The 26,826-nt window shown below is 43.7% G+C and overlaps 1 protein-coding gene and 1 pseudogene across 37 annotated transcripts in view, besides 2 other annotated features; both read right to left on the reverse strand.

Moving 5' to 3' along the window:
• Nucleotides 1–12,647, reverse strand: part of NCOA6 (nuclear receptor coactivator 6) — a 110,878-nt gene extending 98,231 nt beyond the window's left edge. For 34 of the 36 annotated variants that reach the window (XM_047440068.1, XM_047440055.1, NM_001438234.1 and 31 more), the window contains exon 1: nucleotides 12,468–12,647. The gene's annotated coding sequence lies outside the window, so the exon portion shown is untranslated. Of the gene's footprint in view, nucleotides 1–6,297; nucleotides 8,636–12,467 lie in introns of those variants that run through there. The other 2 variants (XM_047440047.1, NM_001318240.1) reach the window with 1 other exon arrangement.
• Nucleotides 12,114–12,553: a silencer, noted in NCBI's record as "silent region_12847". NCBI's record gives its function as "represses an Ori minimal core promoter by ATAC-STARR-seq in GM12878 lymphoblastoid cells {active_cell/tissue: GM12878}" and the evidence as "EXISTENCE:reporter gene assay evidence [ECO:0000049][PMID:35858748]".
• Nucleotides 12,564–12,753: a silencer, noted in NCBI's record as "silent region_12848". NCBI's record gives its function as "represses an Ori minimal core promoter by ATAC-STARR-seq in GM12878 lymphoblastoid cells {active_cell/tissue: GM12878}" and the evidence as "EXISTENCE:reporter gene assay evidence [ECO:0000049][PMID:35858748]".
• On the reverse strand, nucleotides 20,571–21,458 carry HMGB3P1 (high mobility group box 3 pseudogene 1; annotated as a pseudogene). Its single transcript, NR_002165.1, has one exon. The product of NR_002165.1 is annotated as a high mobility group box 3 pseudogene 1 (transcript).
• Nucleotides 21,459–26,826: the final 5,368 nt, after the last annotated feature.

Here is a 26,826-nt window from a genome sequence, read left to right on the forward strand (position 1 = left end):
TAAAATTAGCTGGGAATGGTGGAACACCCCTATAATCCCAGCTACTAGGGAGGCTGAGGCAGGAGAATTGCTTGAACCCGGGAGGAGGAGGTTGCAGTGAGTCGAGATCACGCCATTGCACTCCAGCCTGGGAGACAAGAGTGAAACACTGTCTCAGAAAAAAAAAAAACAAAAAAATAGGCTGGGTGCAGTGGTTCACGCCTGTATTCCCAGCACTTTGGGAGGCCGAGGAGGGTGGATCACTTTAGGTCAGGAGTTCGAGACCATCTTGGCCAACATGGTGAAACCCTGTCTCTACTGAAAATATAAAAATTAGCCAGGCATGGTGGCGGGCACCTGTAATCCCAGCTACCTGGGAGGCTGAGGCAGGAGAAACGCTTGAACCCACGGGGCAGAGGCTGCAGTAAGCTGAGACTGCACCACTGTATTCCAGTCTGGGCAACAGAGTGAAACTCTGTCTTAAAAAAAAAAAAAAAAGGTCATTTTGGAGACAACTGGAGAAACTTACAGACTTAATGTTAGATAATATTAAGAAATTACTGTTTTGTTAGGTGTTAATAATGGTATTGTGTTTATGTAGAAGAATATCCTTACTTGCAGGTGATGTGTGCTAAAATATTAAAGGCATAGTATCATGATATCTTTATTTTTAAAAAGTTTAACATAATAAACATATTATTAAACATATGACAACATGTTGAATATAGATGGTGAGTATAAGGGTGGTTCACTGTACTATTATTCCTGGGGCTTTTTCTATGTTTTAAAGTTTTAATAAAACATTTAAAATATCAAAAAAAGCCCACAAAACTGAAGAACTGCTATTATACTAGAAGAAAAAATTTATGAAATTCAATTTTAACTAGTAGCTAGTGGCACTATAAACTGGTAGTTGTTCTGAAGAATAATCTGACAATGTGGCTAAAAAGTGATAGCCTCAGACCTAATGAAATCATTTTAGGGAATATATTCTAAGAAAAAAACTGGAAGAAAAAAGATTTATAAAAAGATGTAACAGCGCTACAATTTAGAATTGTAAAATAGGGCTGGGCATGGTGGCTCACTCCTGTAATCCCAGCACTTTGGGAGGCTGAGGCGGGCAGATCACGAGGTCAGGAGTTCGAGACCAGCCTGGTCAACACGGTGAAATCCCATGAAATACAAAATCCCGTGAAAATACAAAAATTAGCCAGGCATGGTGGCGCATGCCTGTAATCCTAGCTACTCAGGAGGCTGAGGTAGGAGAACTGCTTGAACCTGGGAGGTGGAGGTTGCAGTGAGCTGAGATCACGCCACTACACTCCAGCCTGGGTGACAGAGTAAGACTCCATCTTGGGGAAAAAAAAAATTGTAAAATATAAATAAAAACGAACTGAAAATCACCCAAATGCCAAATAACCAGAGTATTTTAGACTTTGGTTGTCATATATCCATTAAAAATGATAAATATACAGATGTGTAGAAAAGTACGTCAATATATTGCCAAATGAAAAAAGACTAAAAAAACCTTTATATGAATTAAATTTGTAAAGACTGTATGAATATGAAAATGACTCAGAAGTTATGTACTTGCGGTATTTAAACATAATTTTTTTTTGTTTTTTGAGACGGAGTCTCACTCTTGTCACCCAGGCTGGAGTGCTACGGCATGATCTTGGCTCACCGCAACCTCTGCCTCCCAGGTTCAAGCAATTTTCCTGCCTGAGCCTCCCAAGTAGCTGGGATTACAGGCGCACGCCACCACGCCAGGCTAATTTTTGTATTTTTAGGAGAGACGGGGTTTCACCATGTTGGCCAGGCTGGTCACGAACTCCTAACCTCAGGTGATCCACCCGCCTTGGCCTTGCAAAGTGCTGGAATTACAGGTGTGAGCCACAGTGTACAGCCTTAAACATAATTTTTAAAATTTCATGGGGACACGTGCTATTAGAAAAAGTATAAACAATGCAAATATAAAATCAGGAAGAACTGCCTGGGCACAAATAAAGAAAGCACCTGAGGGCTATTACTGACCACAATTCAAATGAGTATTCACAATTTAAATACAGTACTATCCTGGGCAAGGCCAACATTGCTACCATTAAAAAGACACAGGCTGAGCACAGTGGCACACGCCTGTAATCCCAGCATTTTGGGAGGCAAGAGTATCGCTTAAACCCAGGAGGTTGAGACTGGCCTGGGCAACATAGGAAGACCCATTCTCTACCCCAAAAAAAAAAAAAGCCAGGTGAGGTGGTGAACACCTGTAGTCCCACGTGTTCACTCAGGAGACTGAGGTAAGAGGATCGCTTGAGCCTGGGAGGTTGAGGCAGCAGTGAGCCATGATCACACCACTGCACTCCAGCCTGGGTGACAAAGCGAGACTCTATTTTTTTTTTAAATAATAATTTAAAAATAAAAAGACACAGAAAAAGAGCATATCATTAGCCTGGACAGTACCCAGTCTTCCTCAATTCTATTTGTTATTTTAAAACAATACTCAGTTTTCCTCAATTCTTTCCAATATTTTTTTAAATTATGGAAAAACTGAAGAAGTTTCAAAGAAAAACCAAGAGGTAAAGAATAGGATGGAAAAGAGGTAATTTTGAAGAATGGTTTGAAATCAAATGAAGTGTGACATGACTATTAACACTGAAATATCCATGGGGAGGCTTTTGAATGGAGACCCTGAAAAGCTGATGTATCTCTCAATGCCCACAGATGACTCACCAAGAAGAGAGGGCTAACAAAACCCTCAAAGTTTGTTGTTTTACAGAAGAGAGATTTCTTTATTGTGCTGGCAAAAGTTACTGGCATAGGAAAATGAGGGAGGCTGGGTGTGTTGTCATTGACCATCTGTTTTTCTACAGGGTGTTTACTTATCCATGATCACCTGATCATATTAGAATGTCTCTAAAACTTGACTCAGTTACTCAAAGCTTGAATCAATTATCTACCATTTCAAAATTCCGCAGTGCCATCCTGCTCCCACACACTGGTCACTCAGCAACATTCAAATGTCTTAGACCTGGCATCCAGGGCCCCAAGAAAGTACGTCGGCTTCACTTCTCCACAACTCCTCAACAAACCAGCAAATCAGACTTCTCACTATTTCATTACCTAAATATTCCTTACATTTTCCTATGTCCATCATTCCTTTGGTTACTCTCTCCTTAATCCCATTTGTTGCAATCTTACCCTTCCATTTTAATAAATTTTAATTTAATGCCTCTATGTTATCTCAAACACTACCTGTTATGTGTTGACTTGTGCCCCCCAATCCCATCCCTGCCAAATATGTTAGTCTTAACTCTCAGTACCTCAGAATGTGACCTGATTTGGAAACAGAGTCGCTGCAGAGGTAATCAATTAAGATGAAGTTACTCCTACTGGAGTAGGGTGGGACCTACTAGTGACCTTATAAGGGAAATTTGGACACAGAGACATACAGGGAAAACGCCATGTGACAACAGAGGCAAAGATGGAGTGATGCAGCTACAAGCCAAGGAGCACCAAGAATTGATGGAAGGCTCAGCCTCTCAAGTAGGTGCGATTAGATGCACATGCCAGCACGCCTGGCTAATTTTTGTACTTTTAGTAGAGATGGGGTTTTACCATGTTGGCCAGGCTGGTCTCAAACTCCTGAACTCAAGTGATCCACCCACCTTGGCCTCCTAAAGTGTTGGGATTACAGGTATGAGCCAGCTATTTGGGAGGCTGAGGCAGGAGAATCACTTGAACCTGGGAGGCAGAGGTTGCAGTGAGCCAAGTTTGCACCACTGCACTCCAGCCTGGGCAAGGGAGTGAGATGCTGTCTCCAAAAACAAACAAACAAACAAACAAACAAAAAAGAGCAGCTGGGTGCAGTGGCTCACACCTGTAATCCCAGCACTTTGGGAGGCCGAGGCAGGTGGATCACCTAAGGTCAGGAGTTCGAGACCAGCCTGACCAATATGGTCAAACCCCATCTCTACTAAAACTACAAAAAAATTAGCTGGGCGTGGTGGCAGTTGCCTGTAGTCCCAGCTACTCAGGAGGTTGAGACAGGAGAATCACTTGAACCCAGGAGGCGGAGGTTGCAATGAGCCAAGATCTCACCACTGCACTCCAGCCTGGGCAACAGAGTGAGACTCCATCACACACACACACAAAAAAGCAAAAGCAAAAGCAAAAGAAAATGTATATAAATGGGTACTACGGAACTGATATTCAACAGATTCAATATCAGTAAAGGAGCTGATTAATGGGAACTTTTGTTGCCTTTGTGTGTGTGACGGAGGGGGAGGGGTTGCAGCTGGTTAATGCTAAATACAAACTGAAATATCTGTTTAAAGTATGAATGCCCTCTGAATTTGGTGCTCATTAATATTAACTGATATAGTTAATTTATTAACTGATAATGAATATTATAACTGACATAGAATACACAATTCATCACAAAGTAAAGGTATGGTCCTGGCCTTCTGCTTTATAGAGATTGTATATCAAATAAAGCATATGACCAACTCTAGGGCTGCATTCCTCCTTCCATCAAAGCCATAGTATTTCATTTGTGTATACATCTAAATGTAACTCTAGTTATTTACTAATTAACTCAGAATGTTTATTGAGCTCCTAGGCAGCTACTTTATGTCCTTTTTAGAATAAGGTGAGGTAGAAAAAGATCACATTTAAAAAAATAAATGAATATACCAGACATCAAAATAGGCAGACACTGGAGCTGAAGGGAGGGAAGGGGGAAGGCAGAGACAGACACCAGCCCAGTCCTAAAGGAGCACTCACCCAATCTAGTGAGAAGTAAGAGAGTAAACTAGCTCCATATCTCTCCTTTCTCCCCATGCTGATCCTACACTTCACAATCAGGCTTCCTTTCCTAACGTACAGCTTTCATCACATCACTGGCGAAAAACATTTGATGACTTCCCACTACCTAGTCAATCAAGTTCAAACTTCCCAGCTTGGAATAGAAATGGGTATTCAAAGCCTTCCATGATTTGATTATATGGTATGCAGAGATTAGGAAGGCAGGCTTTGAAATTAGACTACCTGGACTCAAATACTTTCTGTATCAATTGTTAGCTCTCTTCTTCATTTTATATGTAAAAAGGGATTAAAAACCAGTGCCTACCTCATCAGGTTGTTGTAAGGATTAAATAAAATGCTACTTATGAAATACTTAGCACATTATCTTGCAAATAGTAAGCATGCAAAAAATGTGAGCCATTGGCCAGGCATATGGCTTGTGCCTATAATCCTAGCAATTTGGGAGACCAAGGCAGGAGATCACTTGAGCCCAGGAATTAAAGACTGCAATGAGTTATAATCACGCCACTGCACTCCAGCCTGGGCAACAGAGTAAGACCCTGGTTCTATTTAAAAACAAAACAAAACAAAACAAAAAAACCCTACCCAAAGAACACTGGGGGGAAAGAAAAGCCACTACTACTATTAATTTTTTTAAGTTTTATTTATTTTAGGTTTTATCTATTATTGTTACTATTGTTCATCTCCATTTCCACCCTTAATTCCAACAACACCCTTATAACAATCCTCTTCTCCAAGCAAAGTGGACTCTTTACCATCTCCTAAATACCCACCTCTGTGTTTATGCTTTCACTCAGCCTGGAAAATACAGCACTGTCTCATCTCCAAGTATTAAGATACTAACTATTCTTGGCAGCTTCGTTCACAGACCACCTCTTTCAGGTACCATTCTCTAGTATCCCAGCTCCATAACACATTACAGACATTCCTCAGCATAGAAACCTTGGCTAGATTCATCTTGGTATCTTGCAGAGTTCTAGCCAGTTTCCAGAATACATGGTAGGGCTCAACAAATGTTTGAGAAAATAATACCTATATTTCCTTTCTCGTCCAACCACTCTCTTAGACAACAGCTCCACAATACAAGTAAAAAGAGTTCTTCTACAGTATTTCATAAAGCTGGCCAGCTAATTTTCTATCACCAATGTGGTAATTTCTAATACAGTACTTAATACATAGTAGATGCCTAAATATTCAAGGAGCTAAGCTGAATTTCACCTCATCTTTTAATTTCATTTATCATTCTATTCATTATGATCAAGTATGGCTCATCCTTAGAAATAGGTTTTAGTATTTACTTGCCCACAAACTCATCTGTCAATTTCTGGCCATCCCCCCCACCATCCCAATATGTCATTTACTGGTTTGGGGGAGACAATATTCAATACCTCAATAAAGTAAGAATCAGAAAATTAAATGTCTGCAGGGCCATAAAAATAAAGAGCAAAGCAAGACAGCAAGGCAGACTATGGAGAACTAGGAAACACATCTCACCTAAAAGTTTCAGCTGGTTACCGCTATAAATGAATATGGGCTTGCTGTTGACAGATCTTCCAATTTTTCAAGGTTAAGTCAGAAACTCAGAGGTCTGTGTACATTTTTAAGACATTAAAAATATTGTGTAAACCAAACAAAATACTTATACAGGTCAAATCCAACCACAGGTTGCCAGTTTGCAACCTCTGCTACAGAAGTTCTCTGCAAAAGTGATGGCGTGAGAAGAGTTCTATCCTAGCAGATAATCTAAGGCAGCCCCTAAAACTAAGTAGCTCCTTGGAAGCATCTCCTGCAACACTCAGCCCAACTCTCACCATTCTGATTGACCTGAAAACCAAATTAATTTGGCAATTTAATTGAGCAAAATGAGCCCCTGCTCTGTACCAGGTGCTGAGGAATCAGAAATGAACAGTAGTGCTAAAGTACAGCTAATATTTATTGAGCATGTTCTAGGTGCCAAGCACTGTTTTACACGTTATGTATATTGACTCATTTAATCCTCACAAAACCCTATGAGATTACTATTATCCTTAAAGACTGAGGCGCAATGAGGTTTTATTTGTCCAAGGTCACACAATCAGCAAGCAGCAGTGCTTAATAAGGACCTGAGACAGACTCCACCAAAAAGAGCTCACAATTTGAAAGCAAGCCCCATTCAATAAATGATGCTGGGATCACTGGTTATACATAGGGAAAAAAAATGAAACTGGACCCGACCTTACACTACACATAAGAATCCATTCCAGATACATTAAAGATCTAACCATTGAAAACAACAGTAGGTATTCCAGAATATAAAGAATAATTGCAGGCTGGGCACAGTAGCTCACACCTGTAATCCCAGCACTTTGTGGACTGCTTGAGCTCAGGAGTTCCAGACTAGCCTGGGCAACATGGCGAAACCCCGCCTCTACAAAAAATGCAAAAAGTAGCAGGGCATGGTGGCGCATGCCTGTGGTCTCAACTGGCATGGGAGGTGGGAGGGTTGCTTGAGCCCAGGAGGTTGAGGCTGCAGTGAGCCGAGATCGCACCACTGCACTCCAGCCTCGGTGACAGAGCGAGACCCTGCCTCAAAACAAAGAATAACTGCAAATCTTAAAGGAAAAGATTGATAAAGTTGATACTAAAATTCAGAACTTTTTAACAAATGACACCTTAAAACAGATGTTTTAAAATAAGCAACAGGCCAGGCGCAGTGGCTCACACCTGTAATCCCAGCACTTTAGGAGGCCAAGACGGGTGGATCACTTGAGGTCAGGAGTTTGAGACCAGCCTGGCCAACATGATGAAACCCCATCCCTACTAAAAACACAAAAATCAGCCAGGTGTGGTGGCACATGCCTGTAGTCCCAGCTACTTGGGAGGCTGAGGCAAGAGAATCACTTGAACCTGGGAGACGGAGGTTACAATGAGCTGAGATGGCACGACTGCACTCCAGCCTGGGCGACAGAGCAAGACTTCATCTCAAAAAAAAAAAAAAAAAAATTAAAATAAGCAAGAAACTGGGAAATGACATCTGTAATATCTACCAACAACAAAGGATTAATAATCAGAATATATAAATAAATCTTTTGTAAAAGACAACCCAATAAAAAAAATGGCAAAACAAGCCCGAGCATTATCTAATCCGTGTAAAGCTGGCACTACCACAGTTACCACACAGTACACTCCAGAACAATAGACCTTGCCATCACTGACTGATATAAATATTCAGGGGTCTGTGTTATGCTGCAGGTACACAGAGCATGGGTAATCCAGCCCAAAGGGCAGAGCCAAGACGTTTATTCATTCTCTATCATCATATAGACATTGGATGGCAAATTAGAGGTTGAACATCCAACACTCAAACACATAGATCAGGGGTTGGCAAATGTTTTTGTAAAGAGTATTTCCAGCTTTGTGAGCTGACACAACACATCTCTGTCACGACTACTCAACTCTGCTATTGGTACCACAAAAGAAGATATGGACAATATATAAATAAATGAGTGTGGCTATGTTCCAATAAAACGTTATTTACAAAAACAGATCGTGGGCCAGATTTGACCTATGGACCACAGTCTGTCGACCTCTGACATAGATAGTTGTGCTTTTTCTACACTATAGGTAGGACACTTCCCATGTTTTCCCCTGTCTTTTATGTCTGCTGACACCTCTGATTTCCTTAACCAAAAACTACACCACACTTGACAGCTTTGCAATGGTTTCCAAAACTCTATTACTCTGCCAAAAAAACCTTTTCGCCCTTATTATCAATGAGAATTCTCCCCTCATTTTCCTTTCACTTTTTTTTTTTTTTTTGAGACGGAGTCACGCTCTGTTGCCTGGGCTGGAGTGCAGTGGTGCGATCTCGGCTCACTGCAAGCTCCGCCTCCCGGGTTCACACCATTCTCCTGCCTCAGCCTCCCGAGTAGCTGCGACTACAGGCGCCCGCCACCACGCCCGGCTAATTTTTTGTATTTTTAGTAGAGATGGGGTTTCACCATGTTAGCCAGGATGGTCTCGATCTCCTGACCTCGTGATCCGCCCGCCTCGGCCTCCCAAAGTGCTGGGATTACAGGCGTGAGCCAACACGCCCAGACTTCCTTTCACTTTTTTAAACCTCTTTGACAGACACCACCCCAAACCAGAAATTTAAAAAACTCCCCCTAAGCCACTCACAATGTCAATAATCAACACCTGCAAATTCTAACTCCACTCAATGCCCACAGCCTCTGCCTTAGTTCAGATCCTCATTACTTCTAACTCTGCTCAGTGCCCACAGTCTCTGCCTTAGTTCAGATCCTCATTACTTCTAACTCTGCTCAGTGCCCACAGTCTCTGCCTTAGTTCAGATCCTCATTACCTCTCTGGTCTTCAGTCTACCCTCCTTCCAAAGAACATCCATTTATCTCCTAGAAATTAAACCTCCACCACATACTCCCCTTCTCGAAGATCTTGAATGCCTCTCTCAGCTAAGGATTCAGTCCAAACTCCTTAGCAAGGTCCTTCACAACCAGGTTCCTAACATGGTCTTCCTAGTCTCATCTCTGGCCATGCTTTCACACACATTCTATGCTCCAGCCACATTCAGTTATTAATACATTCCCTGAAAACGTGTCTTTACCTGAAAGGCCCTTCTCTCCATTTCACTGGCAAATTCCTGTATCTTTTAGGACACATCTCAAATGTCACCCCTTCGCAACACCTTCCCTGATTCTTTGAGCAGACACACCCATCTCCGTGTCCTTATAGCGTTTAATAACTCTTCTTTGGCATCGACCATCCTGAACTATGATTGTTCACATGTCTACTTCACTCATGGGGCTGCATACCCAAAGTGAAGTGACTCTGCCTTAAAAACTTCTGAAGCTACAGAGCCCAGTATAATGCTTGATATGCAGTAGATGCCTTGAGGCACAGTAAACGTTTGCTGAATGGAAGACATGCCTGGCAGTAGGAGTAGGGTTTCTTAACCTGGGGTTCATAGACAGGAGTCTATAGATAGGACTTCAGTGGGGCTTGTGAACTTGGACAGGGAGAAAAAAATCTCTTTTACTAACTTTTAACTGAAAATTACCATTCTATTCAAATATGAGTGTAGGTAACATACCATTCTAGTATTAGCAGTTCTGTGACTCTGTAACAACAGAAATCTCAAATATCTTTATATCATACTACAATTGTTGCATATAATCTTGAAGTAGCCTTTATGCGCATCATGTCTTTGAAATTATAATTATCGGATCCATCACTAAATCTGATTTCTTAACGTGCTGATAAACAAGTATATGCATATTAGATTTGTATATTTTGGAAACTGTATTTTAATATAATTGGTGTTCCTTATAATTCAATGTACTTTATTTTATACAATTAAAAAATATTATTCTGAAAGGGGTCCATGGCACAGATAAGGTCAGGTCTTCCTGCATTAGAAAAACCCAGAATAGGCTGGGCGCGGTGGCTCACGCCTGTAATCCCAGCACTTTGGGAGGCTCAGGTGGGCAGATCACTTGAGCTCAGGATTTCAAGACCAGCCTGGGCAACATGTTGAAACCCCAACTCTACAAACAGAAAAAAAAGAAAAGAAAAGAAAAGAAAAACCCAGAACAAATGAATTGTGTTGCTGTATATACATATGGTATTGACAGTTTTATTTTATATATGCCCGCATAATATTTTTGTTCGCTAATTCTCTTTGATTATATGGGGCCCTGGACCTATTTTCCATGACTAATTTGCATATTTCCTTCAGAACTCTCCCATAGCCCATGCGAACTTTGAATTCTTCTCTAACATGATCCAACTTCAATTAATAAAATAGAGACTCTGGGTGTCTACAATTTTTCACTTTTCTTTTTTAGGATTTTGTGTTCCTTTGTGGTAAACACCTAGAAGAGAAGGAGCATCTCTCTTTTTTTTTTTTCTTTAGACAGTGTCTTGCTCTGTCGCCCAGGCAGGAATGTCATGGAATGACCATAGCATGGCTCATTGCAGCCTTGACCTCCCAGGCTCAAGCGATCCTCCCACCTCAGCCTCCTGAGTAGCTGGGACTACAAGTACAAGCCACATCAGGTGGCTAATTTTTTTTATTTCTTTTGTAGAGATGGGGTCTGCCAGCTCCTGGGCTCAAGAAATCCTCCCACCTTGGCCTCCCAAAGTGTTGGGATTACAGGCGTGAGCCACTGTGGCTGGCCGGAGCACCTCTTAAAACTCTAGAAAGTTAGAAGGTCTCAAAGATAACTTCTTTGCACAATTAGAGATGAACCAGGAAATACCAAATAACTGGCTGCCTATACTTTTTTGTATTCCCTTCAGCCTTTGTATTGCCACACTCATTACAGGAAGAAAACAAATTTAATAGTTATCTGGTATATACTGTTATGCTTCATTTCTTGTTGTTTTTGTTTGTTTGCTTTTAGTTTCATCACAAGAATGTTATGCTTCATTTCTTAACACCTTTCTCCCAGCTAGCAAATTCCTTTAAGGCAATGTGTTTAGTGAGGAAGCAGCCGACAATTTCTAGTACCCCTCTGCCACTAACTTGTAAGATCTTGAAAAGTCAACTTTACCTTTCTATGTTTCAGCTAAAATCACTACCTGATTTGAAATCTTTACTTGATCTCTCAGGCCTTTGTAGTTTTTATACATTCACTCTTCTTCACCATTTTACTGGCTTCAATAACGCCTTTCTGATGACCTCTCCAGGTGACTCTGCTCTTAAGCTGTGGGCTGTCCCCTTCCAGGGAAGACACCTTGGGTCACCGCCCCCAAACAGCCAGGTCCCTCCTTTTAAAGACACACACAACTCCCTAAGTTGATAAAGGTTCTCTCCTTCCTTGCCAACCAGTTCCACTCTCTGTGCCTCTTTTGCTGGCCAGCTCCTGCACCCAAACCTCAGTCTCCCTTTGTCCCCCTTTTCTCTCATCAAACACCTCCTTTTTCCTGTTGCTTCCCCCAAGAGGGGGTGGAGGATGCTTGGGACATAAGTCTTCAGAGCCTTGGGAGTTATACAGCTTTGCAATTCAGCCCCAGTACCCCAAGGACTGCCCCAATCTGAACCAGCGTCTGTACCCAAAGGGCCCTCATTCCTCATCAATCACCTCCTTCCCTCCCAGCAAAGAACTGCTCCAGCCCTGACAGCCTGAGCTTGGCCCCCATGCCTCCACCCCAATCCCCAGGTCCTACCTGCATTAGGGCTCTAACACCGCCTAAGGCCTAACCCAGTTCCACGTCCTGCCATCCTCTCAGCCCATAGACCCCAATCCCGGTTCCCTTCGGACCCAGTGTTCCTTCTCCGCGACCCTGACCACGACCCCACGACCGGCTCCCGCCTGTTCCCCAGGCCTGGAGCGCCACCCCGTGCAGACCCCGGCCAGCCCTGCACTCCCTCAGTGCACCGGCCCCCGCGCCCAGCACCCTCCCCACCCAGCCCGGCCGCCGCTCCCTCCAGCGCCCCCGCCCGCAGGCCTGGGGCCCGCTCCCCAACATGGCGACGGGGACACAAGCGCGGCGGGCGGGGCGGCTCCGGGCCGGGCCCGCTCTCAGACCGTGCCACTCGGTCGCCCGGCGCCATTTTTCCGCGCGGGCCCGGGCGGCGCCTCCTCCCCGCGAAGCCAGCCCGACAAGGACCGCGGACGCCCGGCGGGCCCACCCCTTACGGGCCCGCGCCGCCGTCCCCTCACCTGAGCGCGGCCCCGGCCCTCCCGGGCGGGCCTTGGAGCGCCGGCCCGGGCCGTGCGTGCCCGCCGCCCTCGGTGCGTCCGTCCGTCAGTCCTCGCGTGCGCCCGTCTGTCCCGCCGCCCGCGCCCGGCCGCCCGCAGCCCGACCCGGCAGGGCCTCACGGAGCCGGCGGGGAGGGGGATGGGCCGGACCGGGCCGGGGAGGGAGGGGGAGGGAGGGAGAGAGGGAGGGAGCGCGAGAGGGGGCGGGGCGGACTCGAGGGGCGGGGCATTGCCCACGTGACCAGACGTCCCCGGGAGCGCGAGGTGGAGCGCGCGCCAGCTCCCTTCGGTGCTGAGTGCTTAGTGCTGGGATCTCGTGGGTCTCTGTCGGCTTTCCAGGGCTATTCTCTCGCCAGTGAGTCCCACTTCGGAAGCACACATTGCACAGTCTTTTGCGAGCGCTCTGAGTATCCTTGGACATGGCAACTCCAAGCCTCAGTTTACCCATCTGAAATATGGGGAAAATCATAGTGCTTGTGAAGAGCAAATGGAGGTGGGCTTGGAAAGCACTTGTCACCGTGCCTGACACATACTGTCTAATAATAAGCTTAATGGGATATAGATAAAAGCTTTCATTATTATTTGCCTCTAAATCCCTCTCTTCTTTTTCCCATCATTACCTCCCTAGCAAGCTAAAATGCTCAGTAAATAGAATTATTGATCGAACGAGTGTGGCCCCTCCCCTCTTCCCAAACGTAGAAAGGCCTCCTCAGCACTGGACTTCATGTCTGTCATACAGGCCTGGATTCATATCTGGCTTTCACTCTTTTTTAAAAATTTTCTGTTTTTTCCCACACTACACTGATGTATTTTTTAAATTTTCGTAAGTACGTAGTAGGTGAATATATTTATGGGGTACATGAGATTTTGATACAGGCATGCGATGTGTAATCACATCATGGTAAATGGGGTATCTAGCAACTCAAGCATTTATCCTTTGTGTTACAAATAACCCAATTATACTCTAGTTATTTTAAAATGTACAAGTAAATTTTGTGTGTGTGTGGTTTTTTTTTTGTTTTTTGTTTTATTTTTGTTTTTTTGAGACGGAGTCTCACTCCGTCGCCCAGGCTGGAGTGCAGTGGCGCGATCTCAGCTCACTGCAACTTCCGCCTCCCTGGTTCAAGGGATTCGCCTGCCTCAGCCTCCTGAGTAGCTGGTACTACAGGCGCATGCCACCACGCCCAGCTAATTTTTGTATATTTTTTAAGTAGAGATGGGGTTTCACCATATTGGCCGGGCTGGTCAGGAACTCCTGACCTCATGATCCGCCCGCCTCTGCCCCTCAAAGTGCTGGGATTATAGGCGTGAGCCACCGCGCCCGGCCAATTGTTTTTTACTGTAGTCACCTTCTTGTGCTAGCAAATACTAGGTCTTATTCTTTCTAACTATTCTTTTGTACCCGTTAATCATTCCCACTTCCCACCTACCTCCCCATTAATCTTACCAGCCTCTGGTAACCCTCCTTCTATTCTCTATCTCCATGAGTTCAATTGTTTTAATTTTTCGCTCCTGGCCCGGCATGGTGGCTCACGCCTGTAATCCTAGCACTTTGGGAGGCCAAGATGGGCGGATCACCTGAGGTCAGGAGTTCAAGACCAGCCTGGCCAACATGGTGAAACCCTGTCTCTACTAAAATACAAAAGCTAGGTGGGCATGATGGCGGGTGCCTGTAATCCCAGCTACTCAGGAGGCTGAGACGGGAGAATCTCTTGAACCTGGGAGATGGTGGTTGCGGTGAGCCTAGCTCGCGCCACTGCACTCCAGCCTAGGTGGCTGAGTGAGACTCCGTCTCAAAAAAAAATAAAAAATAGTTAATTTTTTGCTCCCACAAATAAGTGAGAACATGTGAAGTTTGTCTTTCTGTGCCCGGCTTCTTTCACATAACATAATGACCTCCAGTTCCATCCATATTGTTGCAAATGACACGATCTCACTCTTTTTTAATGGCGGAATAGTATTCCATTGTGTATATGTACATTTTATTTATCCATTCATCTGTTGATGGACACTTAGGTTGCTTCCAAATCTTGGCTGTTGTGAACAGGGATGCAGTAAACATGAGAGTGCAGATCTCTTCCATACACTGATTTCCTTTCTTTCCGGTGTATACCTAAGAATGGGATTGCTGGATTGTATGGCAGCTCTCTTTGGCTTTCGCTCTTGATAGCTGTCCTTGCCTCTCTGAACTTGAGCATCTTCATCTGTAAAATGGGAGTTGGGGTCTGTTCTGAGCATCCCAGGAGATAGAGGATGAGCAGGTGGATTGTAAACTAATTAAACAAATCAGTCCTACTGATCCCATAGAAGAAAGGGAGTCAGGAACCCTTTCATTCCATCAATATTTATTGAGTACACACAGTGTGCTTGGACTGGTGTAGTAGATACCCACCATCTTTTCACATTACCCTGACCGCCCTCTAATCTATTCTCCACCCTGCTGTCAGAGTAATGTTTCTAATGATCAGAAATATGATCATGTCACTACTCTACTTAAAAGTATCTGTTGATGGCCAGGTGCAGTGGCTCACACCTGTAATCCCAACACTTTGGGAGGCTGAGGCAGGTGGATTGTTTGAGCCCAGGAGTTCAAGACCGGGCTGAGCAACATGGCAAACGCTGTCTCAACAAAAAATACAAAAATGGCTGGGCTCAGTGGCTCATGCCTATAATTCCAGCACTTTGGGAGGTCGAGGTGGGTGGATCACGTCAGCTCAGAAGTTCGAGACTAGTCTGGGCAACATGGCAAAACCCCATCTCTACTGAAAATACAAAAATTAGCTGGGCATGGTGGTGCACACCTGTAGTCCCAGCTAATCGGGAGGCTGAGGCATGAGGCAAGAATCACTTGAGCTGGAAGGTGGAGGCTTCAGTGAGCCGAGATAACACCACTGCCCTCCTGCCTGGGTGGCAAAGGGAAACCGTGTCTCAAAAAGACAACAAAAGACAAAAACATAGCAGGCATGGTGCTGCACACCTGTGGCCCCAGCCACTTTGGAGGTTGAGGTGGGAGGATTGCCTGAGCCTGGGAGGTTGAGGCTGCAGTAAGCTAAGATCATATCATTGCACTCCAGCCTGGGCAATAGAGTGAGACCCTGTCTCAAAAAAAAAAAAAAATCTGATGGCTCTACATTGCTCTTAAGATAAAGGCCAAGCCGGGCGCGGTGGCTCACGCCTGTAATCCCAGCACTTTGGGAGGCCGAGGCGGGCAGATCACAAGATCAGGAGATCGGACCATCCTGGCTAACACGGTGAAACCCCGTCTCTACTGAAAATACAAAAAATTAGCCGGGCGTGGTGGCAGGCGCCTGTAGTCCCAGCTACTCGGGAGGCTGAGGCAGGAGAATGGTGTGAACCCAGGAGGCGGAGCTTGCAGTGAGCCGAGATCGCGCCACTGCACTCCAGGCTGGGCGACAGAGCGCGACTCCGTCTCTAAAAAAAAGATAAAGACCAAATAAATGTTGGCCTCCCCACATCTCTAGATTTATCTTAGGGCCCTCTTCCCCTTTCTCTGGGTTGCAACTACAGTGATATTTCTTACACATTGTTCTCCCTCCTTTCTGAGAACCCTTGCACATGCTGATCCCCCTGCCTGCAATGCTCTCCCCACTTAGATAACTCTCAGTCTTCAGATCCCAGTTCAAACGGGGCTACTCCAAGGATACCTTCCCTGACCCATTCCCACACAGGTTTTCTTAGCACGATATGCTTGTCCTTAGTAGAATACACTGAGTCATTATTACCTGTCTTTGCCACTAGACTATGGACACCATAAGGAAGAAAACCTTATCCATCTTGTTTAACATTGTTTTCTCAGCATATAGCACAGCACCTGGCACAGAGTAGGTGCTCAGTAAGTATTTGTTGCGTTTGTGAATCCTAAGCACAATACTAGGTATTGGGCCCAAGAGGGCAGACAGGAGCAAAGAGAACCACAGGCAACCGCAACAGGGGGGCACCTTAGACCTTTGAGCCTATGAAATTAACACCAAATAAATTTAAAATATCCTGGAAAAAAAAACTTTTCTGAAGCTTTTTATTTTAACTTTTAAAAACTGAAATATAATTTATATACAATAAAATGAAAAACTATTAAGTGTATATCTAATAATTTTTTTGCCTACATTCCTGTGTTACCACCACCTAGATCAAGTTATAGATCTATCAACCCAGAAAGTTCCCTTTTGTTCTCTTTTGTATGTTCTCTTCTAATAAATACCTGCTCCCCCAGATGTAACCATTATTCTGACTTCTAGCACCATAGATTAACTTTTTTTTTTTTTTTGAGATGGAGTCGCGCTCTGTCGCCCAGGCTGGAGTGCAGTGGCACAATCTCGGCTCACTGCAAGCTCTGCCTCCCGGGTTCACGCCATTCTCCTGCCTCAACCTCCTGAGTAGCTGGGACTACAGGCACCCACCACCACGCCAGGCTAATTTTTTGTATTTTTAGTAGAGACGGGGTTTCACCGTGGTCTCGATCTCCTGACCTTGTGATCTGCCCGCCTTGGCTTCCCAAAGTGCTGGGATTACAGGCATGAGCCACCACGCCCAGCCGTAGATTAACTTTGACAGTTTTTGATCTCCATAGAAACAGAACCATACAGTTTGTACTCTTGTGTTAGCCTGGAAATCTGACATAGCCAAAGGGTGATTTTTTGGATAAAGATACAATTAATGAATGACTTGATTAATTAACCTGAAAGACTGAATGAAAAGCTCTGGCTACTTCATCCTACAGACACAGAGGTCCTGACAACAGCCAGCCCAGAGGCTGAGAAGACCTCACTGACATATTTCCAAACCCACAAAGACTTCTAGAGATAAGAAAGCTCTCAAAGATTCCAGAAACTCAGCAATAAGACTGGGTGCTATGGCTCATGCCTGTAATTCCAGCACTTTGGGAGGCCAAGGCAGGAGGATTGCTTGAGTCCAGGAGTTTGAGACCAGCCTGGGCAACACAGTAAGACTTCATCTCTACAAAAAATTTAAAAATTAGCTGGTCATGGTCGTGTGTGCCCGTAATCCCAACTACTCATGAGACTGAGGTGGAAGGATCACTTCAGCCTGGGAATTGGAGGCTACAGTAAGCCAAGATCACATCACTGCTCTCCAGACTGGGTGACAGAGTGAGACCCTGTCTCAAAAAAAAAAGGCAAAGGACTTGAATAGACATTTCTTCAAAGAAGATATACAAATGGCTAATAAGCACATGAAAAGATGTTCAATCTCTGTAGTCATTAAGGAAATGCAAATCAAAACCACAATGAGATACCAATTCATACCCTATTTATGTATGTATGTATTTATTTATTGAGACAGAATCTCACTCTGTCGCCCAGACTGGAGTGCAGTGGTGCGATCTCAGCTCACTGCAACCTCTGCCTCCCAGGTTCAAGCAATTCTTGTACCTCAGCCTCTGAAGTAGCCGGAATTACAGGCGCGCACCACCATGGCCAGCTAATTTTTTGTATTTTTAGTAGAGGTGGGGTTTTGCCATGTTGTCCAGGCTGGTCTCAAACTCCTGAGCTCAGTCATTCCCCCTGCCTTGGCCTCCCAATGTGTTAGGATTACAGGCGTGAGCCACGGCGCCCAGCTGCTGTTATTTTTTTAAAAGGCAGAAAATAACAAGTTTTGGCAAAGATGCGGAGAAATTAGCACTTTTATGCATTGCTGGTGGGAATGTATTTTGTTTTTGTTTTTTGTTTTTCTTTGAGACGATCTCGCTCTGTCACCCAGGCTGGAGTGCAGTGGTGCAATCTCGGCTCACTGCAACCTCCGCCTCCCGGGTTCAAGCAATTCTCATGCCCCAGCCTCCAGAGTAGCTGGGATTACAGGCATGCGCCACCATGCCCGGCCAATCTTTGCATTTTCTGTAGAGACAGGGTTTCACCCTGTTGCCCAGGCTAGTCTCAAACTCCTGGGCTCAAGTGTTCCACCTGCCTTGGCCTCCCAAAATGCTGGGATTACAGGCGTGAGCCACTGCGCCCAGCCAGGAATATAAATTGATGCAGCCATGGTGGAAAACAGTTTGGCATTTCCTCAAAAAGTTAAACATAGGCGCCCCTGTAATCCCAGCTACTTGGGAGGCTAGGGCAGGAGGATCACTTGAACCCAGGAGTTTGAGTCCACCCTGGGCAACATAGCAAGACCCAGTCTCAAGGAAAAAAATGTTAAACATAGGATTACCCTATGAGCCAGTAATTCCACTTCTGGGTATTCATCCAAAATAAGTGAAATCACATTAGTACCACTGTACTCCAGCCTGGGTGACAGATGAGACCCTGTCTCAAAGTTTAAAAATAAATAAATGAACAAGCCAGGTGTGGCAGCACATACCTGTGGTCCCAGCTACCCAGGAGGCTAAGGCGAGAGGATCAGTTGAGCCCAGGAGGTTGAGGCTGCAGTGAGCCATGTTTCCATTCCTGCATTCCAGCCTGGGTGATGGAGCAAAACCCTGTTTCGAAATAAAATTTAAAAAATAAAGAAGTGAAAGCAGAGTTTCAAAGAGATATTTGTGCACCCCTGTTCACAGCAGCATTGTTCACAATAGCCAACATGTGGAAGCAACCTACATATCTATAGACAGTTGAATAGATAAGCAAAATGTGGTCTATACATGCAATGAAGCATCGCTCAGCCTTCATGAAGGAAGGAAATTCTGACCCGACGTACACCACAGATGAACCTTGAAGATATTATGCTAAGTGAAATAAGTCGGTCACAAAAAGACAAATATTGTATGATTCCTCCTATATGAGGTTCCTAAAGTAGTCAAATTCATAAAGACAGAAAGTAGAGTGGTTGCCAAGGGCTAGAGGGAGAGGGAATGGGAAGTTTGTGTTTAATGAATACAAAGTTTCAGTTGGGGAAAACAAAGTTCTGGAGGTAGATGGTGGTGATGGTTGCATGTGAATATACTTAATGCCACCGAATTATATGCTTAAAAATGGTTAAAATGGCAAATTTTATGTTATATATGTATTTTACCATACACACGCACAAAAGATTCCAGAGCCACTATCCTAATTTTTTCACCTTGTTGTCCATGTCCTTAAGCCAAGGGTCATGGGTGTTCCTGGGATCTGCAAGAATGCAAAGAGCTGAGAAGACAGGGGCGCATTGGGCACCTGCAGATCCTGTAGGTAAAAATAGCAGGAGCCTAGGCAACACAAATACTTGTTGCCTGCAGGCAGGCAGCAAAAGAACAAAAACAGGCCATAAACTAGCAGATAGTATAGCATAATGATTACAATATTGGGCTCTGAAGCCAAAGTGAATCTGAACACCCAAGTTCAGATTCTAGCTCTGCCATTTATTAGCTATGTGAAGAAACTGCAACCAAAAGGAGATAAATGACTTGTCCAACAGGGTCCAAAGTATTTTCTCATTTATATTGTTTAAAAATCTTTACATGGGTTTTGTTTCATTCTATATCCCCAGTAGACTGTAAGCTCCCCAAGGAAGCTATGTTTGTAATATCCTCACTTGAAATGTAACTTAACTTCTTTGTGCTTCAGTTGCCTCACCTGTGGGATGCAGAGAATAAGGGCTCCTACTTCATAAGGTTGTCAAGCATATTAATGAATTTATACCTATAAATGTTTAGGAGAAAGCTTAGTGCTTATGATAGTCTCAACAAGCAATAGATTGAGAGAGGCTTCTGAAGAGGTGGTCAGGCTATTTCATAAAATGTTTTGAGCAAGAAAAACAGTCCTAAAACATCCAGGATTGTTCTAGATTTGGACTAGAGTGAAGAAAAAGCAAATCAATTGTTCTTTGATAATTTGATTTGTATTTATTGGACTTCTACTTTCATGTGTGTCCAAACAGGCTCAAGCTCTGCAGTGATAAGACTGACAGTGAATACTTCAATGATGTCTTTAAGAAAAACAATAATAAAACAGGGGAAAAAAGAAAGAACAAAACCATCTAGAAAGTGTCAACATTTTACTGTCTGCAGGGTTCGTCACAACAGTGCCAAATGACAAACTTACCACATTTAGTTGGATGAATTTTGCCCTGCAGAAGGATATCACCTTTTTTTTTTATAGGCAAACAGTTTATTTATTCATCCTCCTTCTCTTCCTCCCCATCTTCTTCATCTTCTTCTTCCATCTTTTCCCAGGCAACTTTAGCAGGACCTTTTGTGCCGTCCAACTTTCCTTTCGACTTATAGTCAGCAACATCCTTCTCATACTTCTTCAGCTTTGCCACCTTAGTGACATAAGGCTGCTTTTCACTGTCATTTAAGTTATTCCACATCTCACCCAGCTTTTTTGCCACGTCTCCAATAGAGATGCCAGGGTTTGTGGATTTGATCTTGGGGCAGAATTCTGAACAGAACAGGAAGAATCCAGACAGTGGCCTTTTGGGGGCATTAGGATCGTTCTTGCCTCCCTTAGCTGGTCCATAATCCTTCATTTCTCTATCACAGTGCACTTTATCCGCCTTTGCCATTTAATCGAATTTAGACTCTCTCTCTCTTTTTTTTTTTCTGAGATGGAGTTTTGCTCTTATTGCCCAGGCTGGAGTGCAGTGGCACGATCTCAGCTCACCGCAACCTCTGCCTCCTGGGTTCAAGCCATTCTCCTGCCTCAGCCTCCCCAGTAGCTGGGATTACAGGCGCCCACCAACACGCCCGGCTAGTTTTTTGTATTTTTAGTAGAGACGAGGTTTCACCATGTTGGCCAGGCTGGTCTCAAACTCCTTACCTCAGGTGATCCACCCAACTCACCCTCCCAAAGTGCTGAGATTACAGGCGTAAGCCGCCGTGCCCAGCCTAGACTTCTCTTTCCCAGACATTGTCTTCCACCTCTCAGAGCACTTTTTGGAAAATTCTGCAAAATTGACAGGGACCTCTGGATTTTTCTTATGCTCTTCTCTGCACGTCTGCACAAAGAAGGCAAAAGCAGACATCTTGCCCCTTAGTTTCCTGGGGTCACTTCTAGCCATCCTGACTGTATTGTTCACTAGTCTTGAAGGATATCACTTTTAAGTGGACACCATTCACATGACATTATAATTTGCAAATTTATTATGATAATTTACCAGTAGATGGCAGTAAAATGCCTTGTTATTTCAGAATCTGTTCGTTGTAACAATTTTCAGATATATGGAAATAAAATGCCTTGAGGAGGGGGTCACTTGTGCTTTGCATAAAGACATGCTATGGCGAGGCGCAGTGGCTCATGCCTGTAATCCCAGCACTTTCGGAGGTGGAGGTAGGTGGATTGTGTCAGCCCAGGAATTAGGGACCAGCCAGGGCAACATGGCAAAACCCCGTCTCTACAAAAAAATACAGAAATTAGCCAATCGTGGTGGTGCATCATGCCTGTAGTCCCAGCTCCATGGGAAGCTGAGATGGGAGGATCACTTGAGCCTGGGAAGCAGAGGTTGCAGTGAGCTGAGACTGCACCACTGCACTCCAGCCTGGATGACAGAGTGAGACTCTATCTCAAAAAAAAAAAAAAAAAAGCGGTGGTGGGGTGGGGGCTTACTATGGGCAAGCCATGGCTTGCTCTTCAGGAAAAAAATCATTGAAAAAATAGAAGAAATAGACTAATAATTACACAATTTTAAAAAGTGGAAGAATATCAAGTGACCATACATACACAAAAAGGTGGGGGTGGGGGAGAAAAAAAAAACTGTTTTCAAAAATATTCTGAAATTTTAAAGCTTTTTATTAGAGTATAATATAAAGACATAAAAGTACAGAAATCGTAAGTGTAAAGCCTGTTGAATTTCCACAAAGCCAACACACATGTCTAACAAACACCCAAATCAAGAAATAGAACATTCAGCCCCACAGAAGCCCCTTCCAGTCATTACCCACAGCCCCCAAGGTTAAACAGTATTTTAACTTCTAACTCCATAGATTAGTCTCACCAGGAGTTAAACTTACAGATTCATCTACATTGTTGCATGTAGTTGTAGCATGTTCATTTTCATTGCTGGGTAGCATTTCATTATTTATTTTTTATTTTTTTGAGACAGAGTCTTGCTCTGTCACCCAGGTTGGAGTGCAGTGGTGGGATCACAGGTCACTGCAGCCTTGACCTCCCAGGCTCAAGTAATCCTTCTGCCTCAGCCTCCCTAGTAGCTAGGACCACAGGTGCATGCCACTACACCATGCTAATTTTTGTATTTTTTGTAGAGACGGGGTTTCACCATGTTGCCCAGGTTGGTCTCAAACTCCTGGGCTCAAGTGATCCTCCCACCTCTGCCACCCAGAGTGCTGGGATTACAGATGTGAGCCACCACACCTGGCCAGCATTTTATTGTTTGAATACACCATAATTTATCCATTCTACTGTTAATGAGCATGTGGGTTTCCACTTAGGAGCTATTTTATTTTATTTTATTTATTTTTTTTAGAGATGGACTCTTGCTCTGTCACCCAGGCTGGGGTGCAGTAGTGCGATCTCGGCTCACTGCAACCTTCGCATCCCTGGTTCAAGCAATTCTCTGGCCTCAGCCTCCCGAGTAGCTAGGACTACAGGTGCACGCCACCATGCCCGGTTAATTTCTTTTGTATTTTTTAGTAGAGACAGGGTTTCACTGTGTTGCCCAGGCTGGTCTCGAACTCCTGAGCTCAGGCAATCTGCCTGCCTCGGCCTCCCAAAGTGCTAGGATTACAGGCGTGAGCCATCACGCCTGGCCAGAGCTTTTTTTGTTTTGTTTTGAGACAGAGTTTCGCTCTTGTTGCCCAGGCTGGAATGCAATGGCGTGATCTCGGCTCACTGCAACCTCTACCTCCTGGGTTCAAACGATTCTCCTACCTCAGCCTCCTGAGTAGCTGGGATCACAGGTGCCCACCACCATGCCCGGCTAATTTTTTATATTTTTAGTAGAGACAGGGTTTCTCCATGGTGGTCAGGCTGGTCTCAAACTCCCGACCTCAAGTGATCCGCCCACCTCGGCCTCCCAAAGTGCTGGGATTACAGGCGTGAGCCACCGCACCCGGGCCGGAGTTATTTTAAATTTTACTACTATGAACATTCTTGTGCATGTCTTTGGATGAACATGTGTACAATTTTTTGCTGGATAAAAACCTAGGACTAGGATTGCTGGGTCATAGAGTTTGCATTCAGCTCTTAGCTCATATTACCAAATCCTATGTCTTTTTAAAACAGTTTTATTGACAGGCTGGGCACGGTGGCTCATGCTTGTAATTCAAGCACCTTTGGAGGCTGAGGCGGGTGGATCACCTGAGGTCAGGAGTTTGAGACCAGCCTGGCCAACATGGTGAAACCCCATCTCTACTAAAAATACAAAAATTAGCTGGGCGTGGTGGCGGGTGCCTATAATCCCAGCTACTCGGGAGATTGAGGGAGGAGAATTGCTTGAACCTGGGAGGTGGAGGTAACAGTTAGCAGAGATCCCGCCATTCCATTCCAGCCTGGGTGACAAGAGTGAAACTCTGTCTCAAAACAAAAATCAAAAACAAACAAAAAACAATTTTCCAAAACAAAACAAAAAAACAGCTTTTGAGATATAATTGACATACTATACAATTTACTCATTTAAAGTGTATTATTCAGCCGGGTGTGTGGCTCAAGCCTATGATCCCAGCACTTTGGGAGGTTGAATCGGTTCGCTCACATATGTCCAGGAGTTCGAGACCAGGCTGGGTGACATGGTGAAACCCCATTTCTACCCAAAATACAAAAATTAGCCGGACGTGGTGCTTTATACCTGCAGTCCCAGCTATTGTGGAGACTGAGGTGGGAGGATCACTTGAGCCCAGGAGGCGGAGTTTGCAGTGAGCCAAGACTGCACTATTGTGCTCCAGCCTGGGCTACAAAGCCAGACCCTGTCTCAAAAAAAAAAAAAAAAAAAGTATAATTCTATGGTATTTAGTGTAGTCACAGATATGTGCAACCATCACCACAGTCAATTTTAGAACATTTTCATTGCCTCAGAAGAAACTCTATAATCTTTAGGTATCTCCCTCTCCCCAACCCCCCCATTCCCTCAGCCCTAAGGAATCACTAATTGACTTTGTCTCTGTCAGTTTGCCTATTATGGATACTTCATATAAATGGAATCATACAATATGTGACCTTTTGGCTTCTCTCACTTGGCACAATGTTTTCAAGGTTCATCCATATTGTAGCATGTATCAGTATCAGTACTTTATTCTTTTTCATAGCTGAATAACATAATATGTATTATTATGTGAATATACCACATTTTGTTATCTTTTTGTCTGTTGATGGACATTTGGGTTGTTTTTTACCTTTTGGTATTGTGAATAGTGATGCTATGAACATTCATGTACAAGTTTTTCTTTGAACACCTGTTTTCAGTGATTTGGGGTTTATGCCTGGGAATGGTATTGCTGGGTCGTATGGTAATTTGGTTTGTCTTATTAAAGAAATGCCAAACTGTTTTCCATAGCTGCTGTACCATTTTACATTTCCACCAACAACGTATGAAGATTCCACTTTTTCACATCCTGAGCAACATTTGTTATTTCCTTTTTAAAAAATTATTGTTGTGGGCGCACAGTGGCTCACACCTGTAATCCCAACACTTTGGGAGGCTGAGGCAGGAGGATTGCTTGAGGCCAGGAGTTTGAGACCAACCTGAGCCACATAGTAAGACTCCATCTCTATTTAAATAAAAGATAAAAAATAACATTTAAGTAAATAAACAAATAAAAATAATATTTATGGCCAGTCTAATTGTTGTGAAGTGGTATCTCATGGTGATTTTGACCTGTTTTAATCTACATTTCCCTAGTGATTATGATATTCAGCATCTTATCATAGACTTATCTTTGAAGAAATGTCTGTTGAAGCCCAGGCACAGTGACTTACACCTGTAATCCCAGCACTTTGGGAGGCCAAGATGGGAGGATTGCTTGAGTCCAAGAGTTCCAGACCAGCCTAGGCTGCATGGCAAAACCCCATCTCTACAAAAAATACAAAAATTAGCTGGGTGTGGTGACATGCACCTGTAGTCCCAGCTACTCAGGGGGCTGAGGTGGGAGAATCTCTTGAGCCTGGGAGGTGGAGGTTGCAGTGAGCCGAGATGGTGCCACTGCACTCCATCCTGGGTGACAGAGTGAGACTCTGTCTCAGAAAAAAAAAAAAAGTGTCCTTTTTGTTTTGTTTTGTTTTGAGGCAGGGTTTCACTCCTGTCACCCAGGCTGGAGTACAATGGCACGATCTCAACTCAGTGCAGCCTCGATCTCCTGGGTTCAAGGGATCTTCCTGCCTCAGCCTCCCCAGTAGCTGGGACTACAGGCACGTGCCACAGCACCCAGCTAATTTTTTATATTTTTGGTATATACAGGGTTTCACCATTTTGCCCAGGCTTGTCTTGAACTCCTGGACTCAAGCGATCTGCCCACCTTGGCCTCCTAAAGTATTGGGATTACAGGCATGAGCCACTGAACCCTGCCAAGAAATGTCTATTGAAGTCCTTTGCCCATATTTTAATTGAGTTGTTTGTCTTTATGTTGTTGAAGTGTTTTTAATATATTCTGGGTACTATATAAAGTACTCAGATCAGATATAAGATTGCAAATACTTTTCACATTTTTTGGACTGTCTTTTCACTCAAGATTGTCCTTTTATGTACAAAACTTTTTAATTTCAATGACATCCAATTATCTATGTTTGCTTTTGTTGCTGTGCTTTCGGTGCCACATCTAAGAAACCATTTGCCAAATCCAAGGTATGAGGATTTACCCCTATGTTTCCTTCTAAGAGTTTTATAGTTTTAGCTCTTATATTTGTGTCTTTGATCCATTTTGAGTTACTTTTTGTATGTGGTGTGAGGCAAGGTTCAAACTTCATTTTGTGTATGTGAATATGTTAAAGAGAATATTCCTTCTTCATTGAATGATCTTGGCACCCTAGTTGAGATCAATTGGCCATAGATATATTGATTTATTTCTGGACTATCAATTATGTTCCATTGATATGTTTATCCTTATACCTACCACACTGTTTTGATTACTTTGTAGTAAGTTTTAAAATCGGGAAATGTGTGTCCTCCAACATTGTTCTTTTTCAAGATTGTTTTGGCTATTCTGAGTCCCTTGCAATTAATTCCATATGAATTTTAGGATCATCCATATTCATTTCTGCAATAAAGTGCTGCTGGAATTTCCATACAGATTGCATTGAATCTGTAGATCAATTGGGAAGTATTGTCATCTTAACAAAATTAAATCTTTCGATTCATAAACACAGAATGTCTTTACATTTATTTAGGTCTTCTTTCATTTCTTTCGACAATGTTTTATAGTTTTAATTTTTATACTTCTTTTATAAAATTTATTCCTAAGTATTTTATTCTTTCTGATGCT

This window comes from Homo sapiens, chromosome 20, assembly GCF_000001405.40.
Source record: "Homo sapiens chromosome 20, GRCh38.p14 Primary Assembly".
Taxonomy (NCBI): domain Eukaryota; kingdom Metazoa; phylum Chordata; class Mammalia; order Primates; family Hominidae; genus Homo; species Homo sapiens.